The sequence below is a fragment of the Homo sapiens genome, chromosome 2 (assembly GCF_000001405.40).
Source record: "Homo sapiens chromosome 2, GRCh38.p14 Primary Assembly".
Taxonomy (NCBI): Eukaryota; Metazoa; Chordata; class Mammalia; order Primates; family Hominidae; genus Homo; species Homo sapiens.
Window position 1 is genome coordinate 62,996,604 of NC_000002.12, and position 12,988 is coordinate 63,009,591.

Sequence of the window (12,988 nt, forward strand, 5' to 3'; positions counted from 1 at the left end):
AGTGATTTTTTTTTCCTTCCTGTTTGTTCTTGTTAACAGAAAGGGTTCAAAGACACCAGTCAGTATGTAGTAGGAGAATTGGCAGCACTAGAGAATGAGCAAAAGCAAATTGACACCCGTGCCGCGCTGGTGGAGAAGCGCCTTCGCTATCTCATGGACACAGGTACGGTGCCCAATTACACTGTAAACAGTTTTGGCAAATTGAGCGTTCACAAACTCTTATAGAGTTTTGGAAGTGTGAATCTTTGAAGCCTGAATGTTCAGCAAAACTGCCTTGAAAATAAAAAGGCTGCGATTTGCAGCCACCTCTCTGGGCCCTGGTGATAAGAGTGCCTTCATGGGAAGTGATAACTCGCCCTGATACCGTGTGAGCCAGCACTATTGAACAGTGTGCTCATCCATGCAGAGTTGGAATACACATCTGTGCCTCATTGATATGCCACTGCTTAAAAAAAAAGTAAGATCTTTACTGTTCTACTGATTCATTGGGGAAAAAAAAGATTTGGCCAGCTAAAGCCATGTACTGCATGAAACAGAGCACTGTGCATAGGGGACGGCTCCATGGACTAGATCACTGAAATTTGAGAATACTATCTGGTTACTGATGCTCCACAATTTTTTTTTCAAGAGAACAGGTTTTTAAAAGTCTGTAATACTTTGTGTCACAGTTGCATTTGAAAGGATTACAGTATATAGCAAGGTTTGTAAAGATAGGTTAGAGCACCAAGTTAGCTCCTAACCAGAGGGCAGATTGGCTTTCAATGCTGATTGCCAATGGTGATTGAATAGATCTAAGAGCACAATAAGCAATTGGAAAGGAACTCATGTGTGTGTGTGTGTGTGTGTGTGTGTGTGTGTGTGTGTGTGTGTGTGTAAAATGCTGCCCCTACAAAGAGATTAAAATGTGAAATAAATTAAATCATTCATACCAAATTATAAGTTATATTAAGAAAAAAAGTCAAAAAATACAAGTGGAAAATTTATTCCTGTAATCTAATTAATTGCTTTAATTTTATGGCAGTGTTAAAATACAGTAGATTAGCATGATTTAGGATTGGAAAGCTTTCCTGAACTTTTTCTTCTCTATTTTCCAAAAATATATTTAAAATAAAAGAACTTCTCCAAAAATAAGCATTTATATGGGACATTTGAAAATGCATAGATTAGTGAAATCAGAGCATATTAGAACAGGAAGGAACCTTAGGCTTTATCTGGGACAGTGGGTTTCATACTGTGTTCTCTGAAGTCCTAAATCATCTTCAGAGGCACCTCAGGGGCTTGCCAGGAGAATAAGGGAGCAGAAAGTAGACAGGCATCTGGATTCCTTACCTTACTTCAAATAGAGTGGCTCTGAGTTTATTTATCTGAAATAGTGGGCTTTTGGGGACAGTTTATTTGAAAAAAAGGTTCTACTGCTTAAAATTTAAAACCAAAAATACTTTTTAAAAAAAACTATTACTTAATCTTCTCATTATATAGGTGAGGAGACAGGCATAGGAAATGTTTAAGAAGGTCAAACAGATCACCACATGGTAGACCTTAGATTGGAATTCAGGCTACCAGAGCCCTATCATACGGGACCCTTCTTGCTACACCAGAATATGTAGACCATGTATATCATTCCCCTAATAAGTTGCATGCATGCTCAGTCTTATACCTATATACTTGTGTGGATTCAGCATGATTCCATAAACCAATGTATTGTTTTATATTTGCATTTTTTCTTGGGTTTCTTAGGGATTTTGAAAATATTAGCTATGTTAGCTATATTAAACATATAATTACTAGACTGAATAATATTTGTAATATATTTTTAACTATTTCCTGTAAATATTTTAAGGAGACAGATTTCCTTTTTTTCCAAACAAATGGAACTTAACCACCTTCCCTGATTGTGTTGGATAAATTCAATGTTACTATACAAGAAGACTTGTGCCACTAGTGAAAAAGCTATAAATCCTGTTTCCTCTCCCTCTTTAGCACTTGGAGCCTGATTTGTTGAGGGTTCTAACTGAAATAGACTCAATTTCTCCTTCCTACCCAACATATCACTAGTCAAGCTTTGAAATGGCCCCATTCCAACCATAGATGCTTTATAATCTGAAAGACAGTCATAGAATACAGGTTGAATCTAGAATCCTTTTGAGCTTATTATATTTCTTACTTCACAGGACAGAATCTGATCCTAACTGGATCTGCTACTGCAGATTTAGACCAAAACTGAGTTGGTCTCCCAAGTTCATAAGCTCCAAGAATCATCCTAGACTGTTTTAAACCTCCTCCAACACAAATAATGTTTTAAGATTTGCCTAAAACCTAGTATCTGAAGTAAGAGATAAGATGTTAGAAAGTGAAAGGGTACATTCATCCTTTTCTCTTTTGGGTTCCAGTTTATTCCAACTTTTTATTTATTATAATACCTTTTTTTGGTATGTTAGACATTTCAGTGTACTTTCTGATTCTCAGCCTAGAATTAAGCAGAGCAGATAGTACCCATGTTTTTTATATGATGAGACTGAGGCTCAGACAGGGGAAATGACTCACTTAAGATGATCTCATTAGGAATGGTGGAGTTACGGCTTGAACCCAGGTTTTCAGGTTTTCTAGCTCTTGACTCAGTCCTCTTTCCCCACTACATCTTCTTTACAGAACAAATATACTTTATCTGCTATTTCAGTTTTTATATACTTGTAGATACTGACTATATTCAGGTTTTTTTTGCTGATTTGAAATTCACATAATATAAAATTAACCATTTGAAAATGCATAATTCTGTAGCGTTTGGTACATTCACAGTGTTGTATAGTCATCACCATTGTGTATTTTCAGAAGTTTTTCATCACCCTAAACATGAATTCTGTACTCACTAAGCAATAACTTTCTATTTCCTTCTCCCCCAATCCCCTGGGAATCTTTAATCTACTTTTTCTATGAATTTGCTTTATTGCAGTTATTTCCTGTAAGTGGAATCAAACGATATTTGTCCTTTTGTGTTTGGCTTCTTTCACTTAACATATCTTCAAGGTTCATCCATGTTGTAGCATGTACCAGTACTTCATTCTTTTTTATGGTTGAATAATATTCTATTGTATGTTTATACCACATTTGTTTATTCATTCATCTGTTGATGGATATTTGGGTTGTTTCCACTTTTAGCTACTATGAACATTTGTGTACAAGTATCTGTCTGAATCTCTGTTTTCATTTCTTTTGGGTATATACCGAGGATTGGAATTTCTGAATCATATGGTAATATTGTACTCAATTTTAAATGAGTTGTGAGGTTAAGGTAGAATTCAGAAAACATTTTCCAAAAGAAACACTGTTGTAAGTGTCTACAAGCCAGACAAACCCACAAAAACCTGTTAATTCCAAATATAACTAAATAATACTAATAGTTATTTTAGACCTGAGTCCTAGGCTCCCAGAGCTTGAGCAACATTGGATTTTAAGCACCACCCCTGTGATGCTGAAGCTACTTACATCCTGGGGGGAGGCAGGATGGGTGGGGCCTGGATGGTGGCCCAGATTGCTGGGCATTTCTCCTGGCATGTTGGCAGAAGGCCTTAGCAAGAAAGTAGGAAAGGAATGTAAAAGGCTCATACAACAAGATGGGGAGGTGCCAGGGATAAGAATGGCAGGAGCTGGGAAAGGGCACCAACGACACAGATAGAACAACTATGGGATTTATATGTCTGGTTCCTTCTAAAATTGTTCAGTAATCCTAAATCAGTGATAGTTTGAATACTGAGCAGCCATGCTGTGTATGTGAGTGTGTGTGTTTTTTTTTTTCTTTTAAACTATATTTCAGGCCGGGTGTAGTGGCTCACGCCTGTAATCCCAGCACTTTGGGAGGCCGAGACAGGTGGATCACCTGAGGTCTGGAGTTCGAGACCAGCCTGGCTAACATGGTGAAACCCCATTTCTACTAAAAATACAAAAAATTAGCAGGATGTGGTGGTGGATGCCTGTAATCCCAGCTACTCGGGAAGCTGAGGCAGGATAATCTCTTGAACCTGGGTAGCGGAGGTTGTAGTGAGAGCCAAGATCACACCATTGCACTCTGGCCTGGGCAACAAGAGCAAAACTCTGTCTCAAAACAACAACAACAACAAAAACTATATTTCAAGGCATAGTATTTTCTGCCATTTTACCTTGGGGTCTATAAAATCCCTATGCAAATACAAGTGAATTTTTTTCTCCTCAGCTCTTAATGGTGTGTGTGTGTGTGTACGTCTGTGTATAACTGTTTTTGAGGAGGAATATTTTAGTTTCTAGTACTTTAACTTTGTAATGATTTCTTATTTGGGAAGAGCAAAACTTATTAGTTAGAAATATCATGTATTCCAAGCTGACACTTCTTATGTAAGTTTAGTGCTAATGGATCTGTGCCAGCAATGTTGTAACCCATGAAAAATGGAGTTTATAATGGAAATGCTGATGGGCCCTTTTACTATAGTGCTACAGATAGTGTTGCTATAATGAATGGTGTTTCTTTTCCATTCCCAATCTGTTTTCTTTTAATGGTTATCAAACTTTTTAACTGCAGTGTTTTAATTTAATCTAATGATTTGAGTTTTTTAAAAGTTACAGTGTTTTATTTACATTTTGAGAGTAAAAGTTAAAACATTCCTGAGCGGAGAATAACAATAAAATTGCATCTTGCAAGTTTATAACCTTTAAGCACTGAGTAAAAGGATCATGAGCCTTCTCAAAAATACTGATACTGTAGCTTTTCGTAGAGTATCTGTTCCAAAAACCTAACTGGCCATTTAAAAATATGAAATATACTTAGAGAAGAAAATAAATTAAAAGAACTTTTTTCTATACATTCTTCAGAATGTTTCTTTACCTCCTCCTTTGAGGAATCAAATGTAGTATTAAAGCTGCTTTAAAGCAGGGAATAGGGCCCACAAAAAATAAAAATCAAGATGACAGTAATGGCCAATATTTTTTGCATGCTTATTAGATATTTGGCTCTGTGGAAAGTGCTTTACACATATTTTGTTGTTTCTAACAAAGGCCCTATGAGATAGGGTCTAGTAATAATTGGGACTATTAATAAACACCTTTTTCAGATGAGGAAACTGAGGCCTAGAGACAGAAGTAACTTAGTTGCCCAATTCATACAGTTTACAAGTGGGAGAGCAGGAGTTAGACCCAGTCTGATGGCTCTGGAGCCTGACTCCCAGATACCACCTGACATGATCCCTGCTTCATCTCTCATCTTCTTAGAGGTGAACTTCTGATTTTCCTGGGGTTCTACTAGTAATTCTCTGGACACTGTCATTACCATTTTATGATTTATAATTAGTAAGTCAGAAGAAACAGATCAATATTCACTTATGCAAAAAGATACCTAGCCAACCTATTTGGCTCATTTGAGACCCAACAAGCTCATGTGCCTCTTAACAGTATTTCTTTACCCTGGTCATCACAATGTAATATGCATGAAAATCAGACTGTAAAACATCCCCATTTGGGATAATAAAAAGGATACAAACAAGGTTCCCTTCAAAAGAAGCATCTCACTCTTTACTAATCTTTAGAAGGTTCTCAAATTTGAACATTATAACCTTCAGAGGGTAGTTTTCAGTCTGGGACTAGCTACTTAGGAATACCCGAAAATGTTTTTTTGAGTTATGTTAAAAATAAAACTAGTTAATATTTCAGTGACTGACTTCTAAATTAAGGTAGTTATTTTTATATTAGCAGCTTACAATTTATGACAGTAGATATATATGTACACTTCCTATGTTAAAGCCCTTTAGTTTTACTTTTAAAAGGGAAAATGTGATCTTGATCTTTTTCAATACAAAAATGTAATCTCAGCTATTTAAAAAAGTATAGTTTCTCAGTGTATTAGAAGAACTTATAGAAAATTAGTACCTCGGTGGCATGAATGCTGGTTCAGTCAATGTCACTTCTCTTCATTAAAATCTAAATACTCAAAATTTTTCCATTTCTGGAGGGTTTACTTATGGTTGTTACTTATATTCCTGAAATGCTATATATGATCATAAAAGATTTGCTCTGTGAATGAGTAAGAGAAAAGGGATGTGCAGAAGATATAAAAAAAGAAAAAGCATTTGTATGATCAAAGTACAGAGTAGTCTAATTTTACTCTCAGTGATTTATTTTCTCTCCATGATGACCAACATTAACTGATCACAGATACAGACTTATCTTGTTATTATAACAATGTAACTTCTATTGCTGAGCTAGTTCATTCCATGAATAAAGTAGATGGATTTTTATGATCCAACTCATAGATACTGAGTTAGTACAAAATTCAAAATGAAACCAAGACATTAAAAATGTAGGGATCATGTAACTATTTTATACTATGTGTATCTTTCTCTGATTTACTTTTATCTCATTTTCTCATTTCTTATCCTACAAGTTGCATTCTGAACTTTATTATAATTACGAATTTGGTCCATATGATTTTTTAAAAATGTTTTTAATGATTATACCTAGACTTATAAGTTTGGTAAGATATAAATTCTGTTAGTGAATAGTCACTAGTCACCATTTCAGACCATGTAGGTATTATCAGATAATGAACATGTTTATGGTGCTATATAAGTATTAATTAAATAACAAAAACTCTATTGACCACCAATGGTAAACGTAATTGAATTAGCAGAGCAGTAAAATAAATGTAGACAAAATAAATATAGACAAGCGCATATGAGAAAGCTTGTGTAATGTTTTAGATTAATAGGCATGCAGAATTCTTCACATTTTTTATTACGTAGTCCCTAGATGAATTCAAAGTAATTGGGGTGGTTAATTTTATTTACACAGAGCCGTTCACAGCGCATTAAATAATAGAGATAATTGAACAAGAATTGTCAAGTGTGTACTGATATCAGACATATTACAGAAGGGAATGTGCATAAAACTTCATTTCTATGCAGCCATTGTTTATGGTAATTAAGTACACAGATTTATCCCTTGGTTGCCTTCCAAGCTTATGGCAACTGCTATTGTTGTGCTCCATTAATATGTAATCAGGAAATAGTTTAATTTTCTAATCTGCAGTTTGAGAATTCACTTTCTAACAACTCTTAATTACTGCATTGCCCTGATGATGCTCATGGTTATGAAAATTGAACCAATAAACTCAGCGGAAGAAGCCAGAGGGGATTATAATTCCAGAGGTGGTGCTTACTTAATAAACTTGTTATGCCTTCACCAGAGGGAGCTCAGTGTCCTTCAAAAGCATTTAATTTTATAGTTTAGAATTTACATTTCCACTATGTAAGGAGTTAAAATATTTAGGAGAGATAGTATTCTAAAATCTGTTTATGAAAAGTGAGACAATACCATCTTGATGCTGTTAAAGCATTGTAGTCTTTTAGAAATTATTTAGGGACATGTATCTGTTGTTTTAAACTGACTCTTTAAAATTTTCTATAAAGTATTATTTTGCTAATCCATCTTAATTCATAAAATTATATCTGGGAGCTATATCTGTGACATATTTGATAAGCTTTTTTGTTTTGACTTCCACTTTTCTGTACATAACTTCTTTTTTTCCTCTTCTTTTTTCCTTCTGTACAAATTTAAAGACTGGCATGCCATCCAATTATTAAATGGTGGATACATGGATTTTCTTTGGTAACAGTTCAGTTCACAATTTAAGCAAAAGGCCAATCACAAAGCAAAATGGCTCATAAAAATTTTGTTAGTCTTATCTTCTGGGATGAAAGATCTTATGGAAGTGTAAGTTCTTTTAACTACATCTTAAGAAAATGACATGTCATATATCATCCTGATAAGATAGGGCATATGGGAAGGTCCTCTTCTCTATCATGATCCTTTTTTCCCCCACAATATGGTCTAATACCAAATGACAGTGATTGGTAACAACACACCTATCAAGTATATGAAAATAATTTATATTTATTAACAAGAAAAAAGTAAATACTTTGGGAACATTCTCCAATGTAGACTGGCTTTCATTCAATGAAGGTAGATAATAACTTCAATAAAATAAGAGAACAAATGGTTTTTAATAGCTTGAGTCATTTTCAACCTAATGAAATTTATGTCACAGTATTCATTAAATTTGTAATTTTAGCATACAGCTCCAATTACTTTTCTTATATTTTCCAATTTCTTGACATTTATTGTAATTTTGTGGTGCTAGAATTAGTAATGGATCCCCTTAATATTATTTCTGAAATTACATGTACACCAAAATATTGTTCTCAAACTTCAATATGCATCAGAATTACCTGGTGAGTTTGTAAATTCTCTGTTCCCACCCCCTTACCCACATTCTGATTCAGGACATGGGAAGTGGGATCTAAGAATCTGCATTTTTACAACAATTTTATTTTATTCTGAAGCAGGTGGTCCACAGAGTTCCCCTTTGAGAACAGTGCTTTAAAAACTTTACCTACACTAATAATGAGTTGGCACAGAAAATGATCCAATTTCTGAATATACTTAAATACTTCATCCATTATTCTTCCATTGTTCCTGATATGAATCTCCTTCCAGATGGAGAGTTATCTATTTAATCTCTTGGTAATCCAGAGTCATCATGTATTTTTCTCGTAGAAGGCCATGGGTAGTATTAATAATTATGCAGGGAATTTGCTACTTTGAAGGAAATCTGAATTCGTTTTGCCCATGCTATAAATGTAGCTGTTCTTTATTATCTTCAGTGAAGTCTGCAGTTGTGGAGAAAAGATGCCTGATGGCTATATTACCAAGAAGCCAGATCCCCAGATATATGACTTACTGCAGGAGAGAATGTGGCTAGCGTGGATAGCAACAGCACCGGCTGGCTTACTGAAGTGTTACCTTCCTGCCTGGGAAGCTGTTCTAGAGTTCTCTCAGGGTCAGAATGCCAAATAAATCGAGTTCCACTTGTGCCTTTGGATAATATTATTTCTCCACAATTTTTGAATAGTGAATAGTATGCTTCCTGTAAGCTTAAAGAATAAGAACATATGCATATCACTCATAATTATCCATAATTTATTTTGAAACTAAATTAACAAAGCCTATTTTCAGTAATGTTTTCTTTTTCGATTACCAAGCCACTCTACATTAGATGTGTGGCCAATATTGTAGTTCTTTGCTATTTGACTTTATTAAAAGTTATCTATAATTGGTATTAATAATAAGGCTACTCACAAATGTGGCTTACCACATTATTATATTTATTCAGTATTTTAAAAACAATCACTATGTATTAATTTCTCTAAACCATATAGCAAACCATCTATGGTCCCTGCTTTAGAGGAGGTAAAATATCATTCTAACATGCCTAAAATACTTGGTAACATATAGTAATTATTCATAATTATTTGAGGTTTTTTCATGTTTATTTTATATAATTGAGTATAGGAGCTGAGTAGGGGTATAAGAGAATACATTTGACTTGTTCTGGAATTATTTAAAACTGCCTTAAGGAAGCTTTCCTAGATCATCCCACCAGCCAGAATTATCCTCTCCTTCTCTTATAACACTTTTGCGTATCTTTCCAGTAGCTTATAAAACTTTGGACTAGGGAGGCTAAGATGGTATCTTACATTCATCTTTTGGCTCCCTCAAGGAGTCAACAGTGCTTTGCACATAAATGTCAGTCAGTGAAACATTTGTCCTTTTGTGGTAAGTTGATTTTTTTTTTAAATCCCATCATCCCATTCTATGCCACTCATTGACATCTAGGAATAAATGGAATAAAAAGGAATAAATTAAACAAAAGAACTACACCAAATGTTCTCTCAGTTTGTCAGATAAAGAATCTAGTTGATGGCAGCTACACTGAGTTAACAGGTAGTTTCTTAGAGTTTTATTTTTCTGTTCTTGCCTGTTTTTTCCACTTCTACTTCATTCATACAACTATTAGATAGAAAAAAACCTTTAACCAATGAAAACAGTACTGACAGGCTTTCTCTGCATTCATATGCTATTTTGGTACCCTGTTGCTTAAACGTGATATATTTTTTATTCCAAAGAAAGTACAGACACTGTAAGTTAAATACATTTTAAGTAAAAGTTAAATTTTCCATTTTCATTCAGAGTGGAGATTTTCTTAAAAGATAAGTGTTATTTATAATGTTAAAAGATGACTCTGTAAAAATGCTAAAGATCATAATAGAATACGTGCCATTTTTCCTGAAAAATTTTATTTAATAAGACTTTTGAAAGAGTTCAGTACATTTGTTAGTTTAGAATTAATAAATATTGGAAATTATATATATATATATGTCAGGATCTCCTGCATACTTAATTTCTGTATATTTAAATATTATGTCTGTTCATAAGTCAAACTACTCATCATCATCCTAGTTTGACTAAAGATTTAAGCTGAAGTACGTGAGTAGCATAGAATACATTTATTGCACAGAAACACAAACAGCTAGCCAGGCTGTAAGTATATTATCAGGCAAGTTCTTTCAGAAACGTATTGCTAAAGAAGCTTAACATTAATTATTGTAACTTTGGGAAGATTACATCCACACTAGCCTTGTAAGAAGCAGCATACACTTCTTGACCTCCAATGCTAGAGCTTTAAGACACAAGAATGGCATTTTACCAACTTTAATGGGATAACCAGTATAATCTTTCAGCAGTAAGGGAAGAAAAAGTGTTTAGAGTATAATACCCTTCTGATTCTAATAGAGGCTGCCTGTTATGTGTATTGCAATCATAATTCATTTGTTTATTTTGTTTTAGTTTTAGTTGTAACTATTTAAGGGAAACAGAACTTTTATAAAAATTTAGCAGGTTGCTTGTTGACTTTTTCATTCTTTCTGTTTGCATGCCAGCTTCTTTTTGTGGCATGCATAGATAGATACACAGCAAATATATATGTAGGTATGTGTGTGTATAAAATATTTGCCACAGTTTTGAGATCTCTGAAGTATAATCTGTACAAAGACATGGTATGAATTTGGGCATGCCTGTTCACCTACTTTCCCTTTAAATGCAGTTTCTTATTTCCTAGTTATAATCCTACAGTGCCATGTACAGTATAAATACCAGCTGAAACACCTCCCCTGTCCTCCGTGTATATCGCATTGTGCCTAAGAATACCAAATATATTAATTCACTCAAATAAATAGAAAGTGTATATTATGGTTCCTCTACCCACACATAAGTTAAAAGCGTATTGATGATATTCTTGAAAATTATTTTTTCTAAATTAAAGAAATTCAGCAGGGTTTTTAGTACATCTCTATTGACTTAGTTCAGTGCATGAGATTGGTGGATTATGATTAATTTTAATAGCTACATTAAAAAATACATCTAACATTCTTAATTAGAATAATCTCCAAAGCCAGTTAAATGTTTTAGAAGACAAACAGTTTAATTAGCTAACCTCAGAGGTTCCCCTCCCCCATATGTGCAGTGGTCTTAGGCTTGGTGTGAGCCTTTCAAGCATTCTTAAACAATTGGATGAAAAGGGATTTTAGGCAGATTAGACTAGGGGATCCTTTATTTGTTGTTCCTAATCATGAGATATGCCACATCTACAAAGTTTTACAAAGAAATGAAAATTTAAATAAATTTTACTTTGACTATCTAGTTAGCATGAATTACAAGCTAAAACATCCAGTGATAAGACTACTTAATAAATGTATTCTTTTAATTGTAGATAGGAGCAAAAGTACATGCTGGGGTGGACTAGCAAGTGATATGGCAGATTAACATTCTAAAAGGGTCAATGCTTTTTCCCAGAAAGCATGCTTTTGTTGTACACTCCTGTGGTGCCACTAAATTTTTGGAAATTAATTCAGAAAGTTGAAATAGAATTGTCAGATTTCAGTCTTGTTTTTTTCATTTTTTTAATTTCTTTCTTGTTCTTGTCTGCTTTATGCCCTCTCTAATGAAAAAAATGAAAAGTTTAGTGTATCTGTTTTTTATTTTTCTATTACAAAACGCTGAGGAACTTAGGAATTTGCAACTTTTAGTGATATATAAATCACTGCTTTTTTTTTAATTTGTAAGGAGCAAAAGATATCTTTTTGTACCTAGAGGTTTTTTTTTCTTTTTTTTTTTCTTATTTGGCTTTCTGCCTTTTAGTTTTCCGTTTGCCTAAAAATAATAAATGTTATTTGTAGTTTTAAATTTTTTAAATTATAACTGGATTGCAAGATTATTAAAGTAATAAACCAGAAATAAAAATATATAAGGTTAGATTGGAAAGATTGATTTCACCAATTGCATATGCAGATAATATTCTATATTTACATTATATTAAATTCTGTGATCTAAGTGTTGAATGAATAAGCCCATTAAAACTAAAAAATTAATTTCTTGTATGCAAATTTTGTATAAATATGTTGTAAGGTGGCATTTGAAGTTCAGATAGCTTAATTGAGTTTGAAGGGGGAAAGGTCATTTAATTGGCCTATTGAAATGTTAACAGAAACAGATATACCGTGGAATGGACTTTAATGGCAGCAGTGTTGCACTAATGTCTGTATTCACTTGCAAAATTGTTAATTAGTGCACTTTGGTAGTTCATTTGTTTTTGTATTGATGTGATTAGTCCAATGGGGAAATCAATTTTATAGGAGAAATTGCATGACTTGCTAGCACCCTAAAATGCATGTTTATTTTTGATTCCCAAGAGAATACTTTACACTGTAAAACTCAAGTACATTTCCAGTTGGAGACCTCTGCTTCTCTTCTGGATAGTGGAATGTCTGATCATTTTTCTGTTTTACTCTTTTGATAAAGTTCAGATGTCCTGTATGAACATTTGAATGTCTGAATCTATATGAAACTTTTCTTAGCTGAACATTTCTAGAAACTAATGTCATGTTTCCAGGATAAACATGCTGAGAAGAAAAAGGAAGGAATGGGGTATGGGTGGGATTGCTGATTTCACCCTCTTTAGGTTAAGGTGTAAATAACATTCTGGGTGAGGTATTTTTCTCACCATAAGTGCTCATTGCTTTAACTAGGGAAAACTGCTAAGAAACAGTATTCCAAATAATTTTAAGATATCCTT

General features: G+C 33.7%; 1 protein-coding gene across 52 annotated transcripts in view; it reads left to right on the plus strand.

Moving 5' to 3' along the window:
• The window catches only part of EHBP1 (EH domain binding protein 1), a 372,610-nt gene that overhangs the window by 322,726 nt on the left and 36,896 nt on the right, over nucleotides 1–12,988 (plus strand). For all 52 annotated transcript variants that reach the window (XM_047443744.1, NM_001142615.3, XM_011532718.4 and 49 more), the window contains one exon: nucleotides 40–163. In XM_047443744.1, the coding sequence (XP_047299700.1) occupies nucleotides 40–163 (124 nt within the window). The remainder of the gene's footprint in view (nucleotides 1–39; nucleotides 164–12,988) is intronic.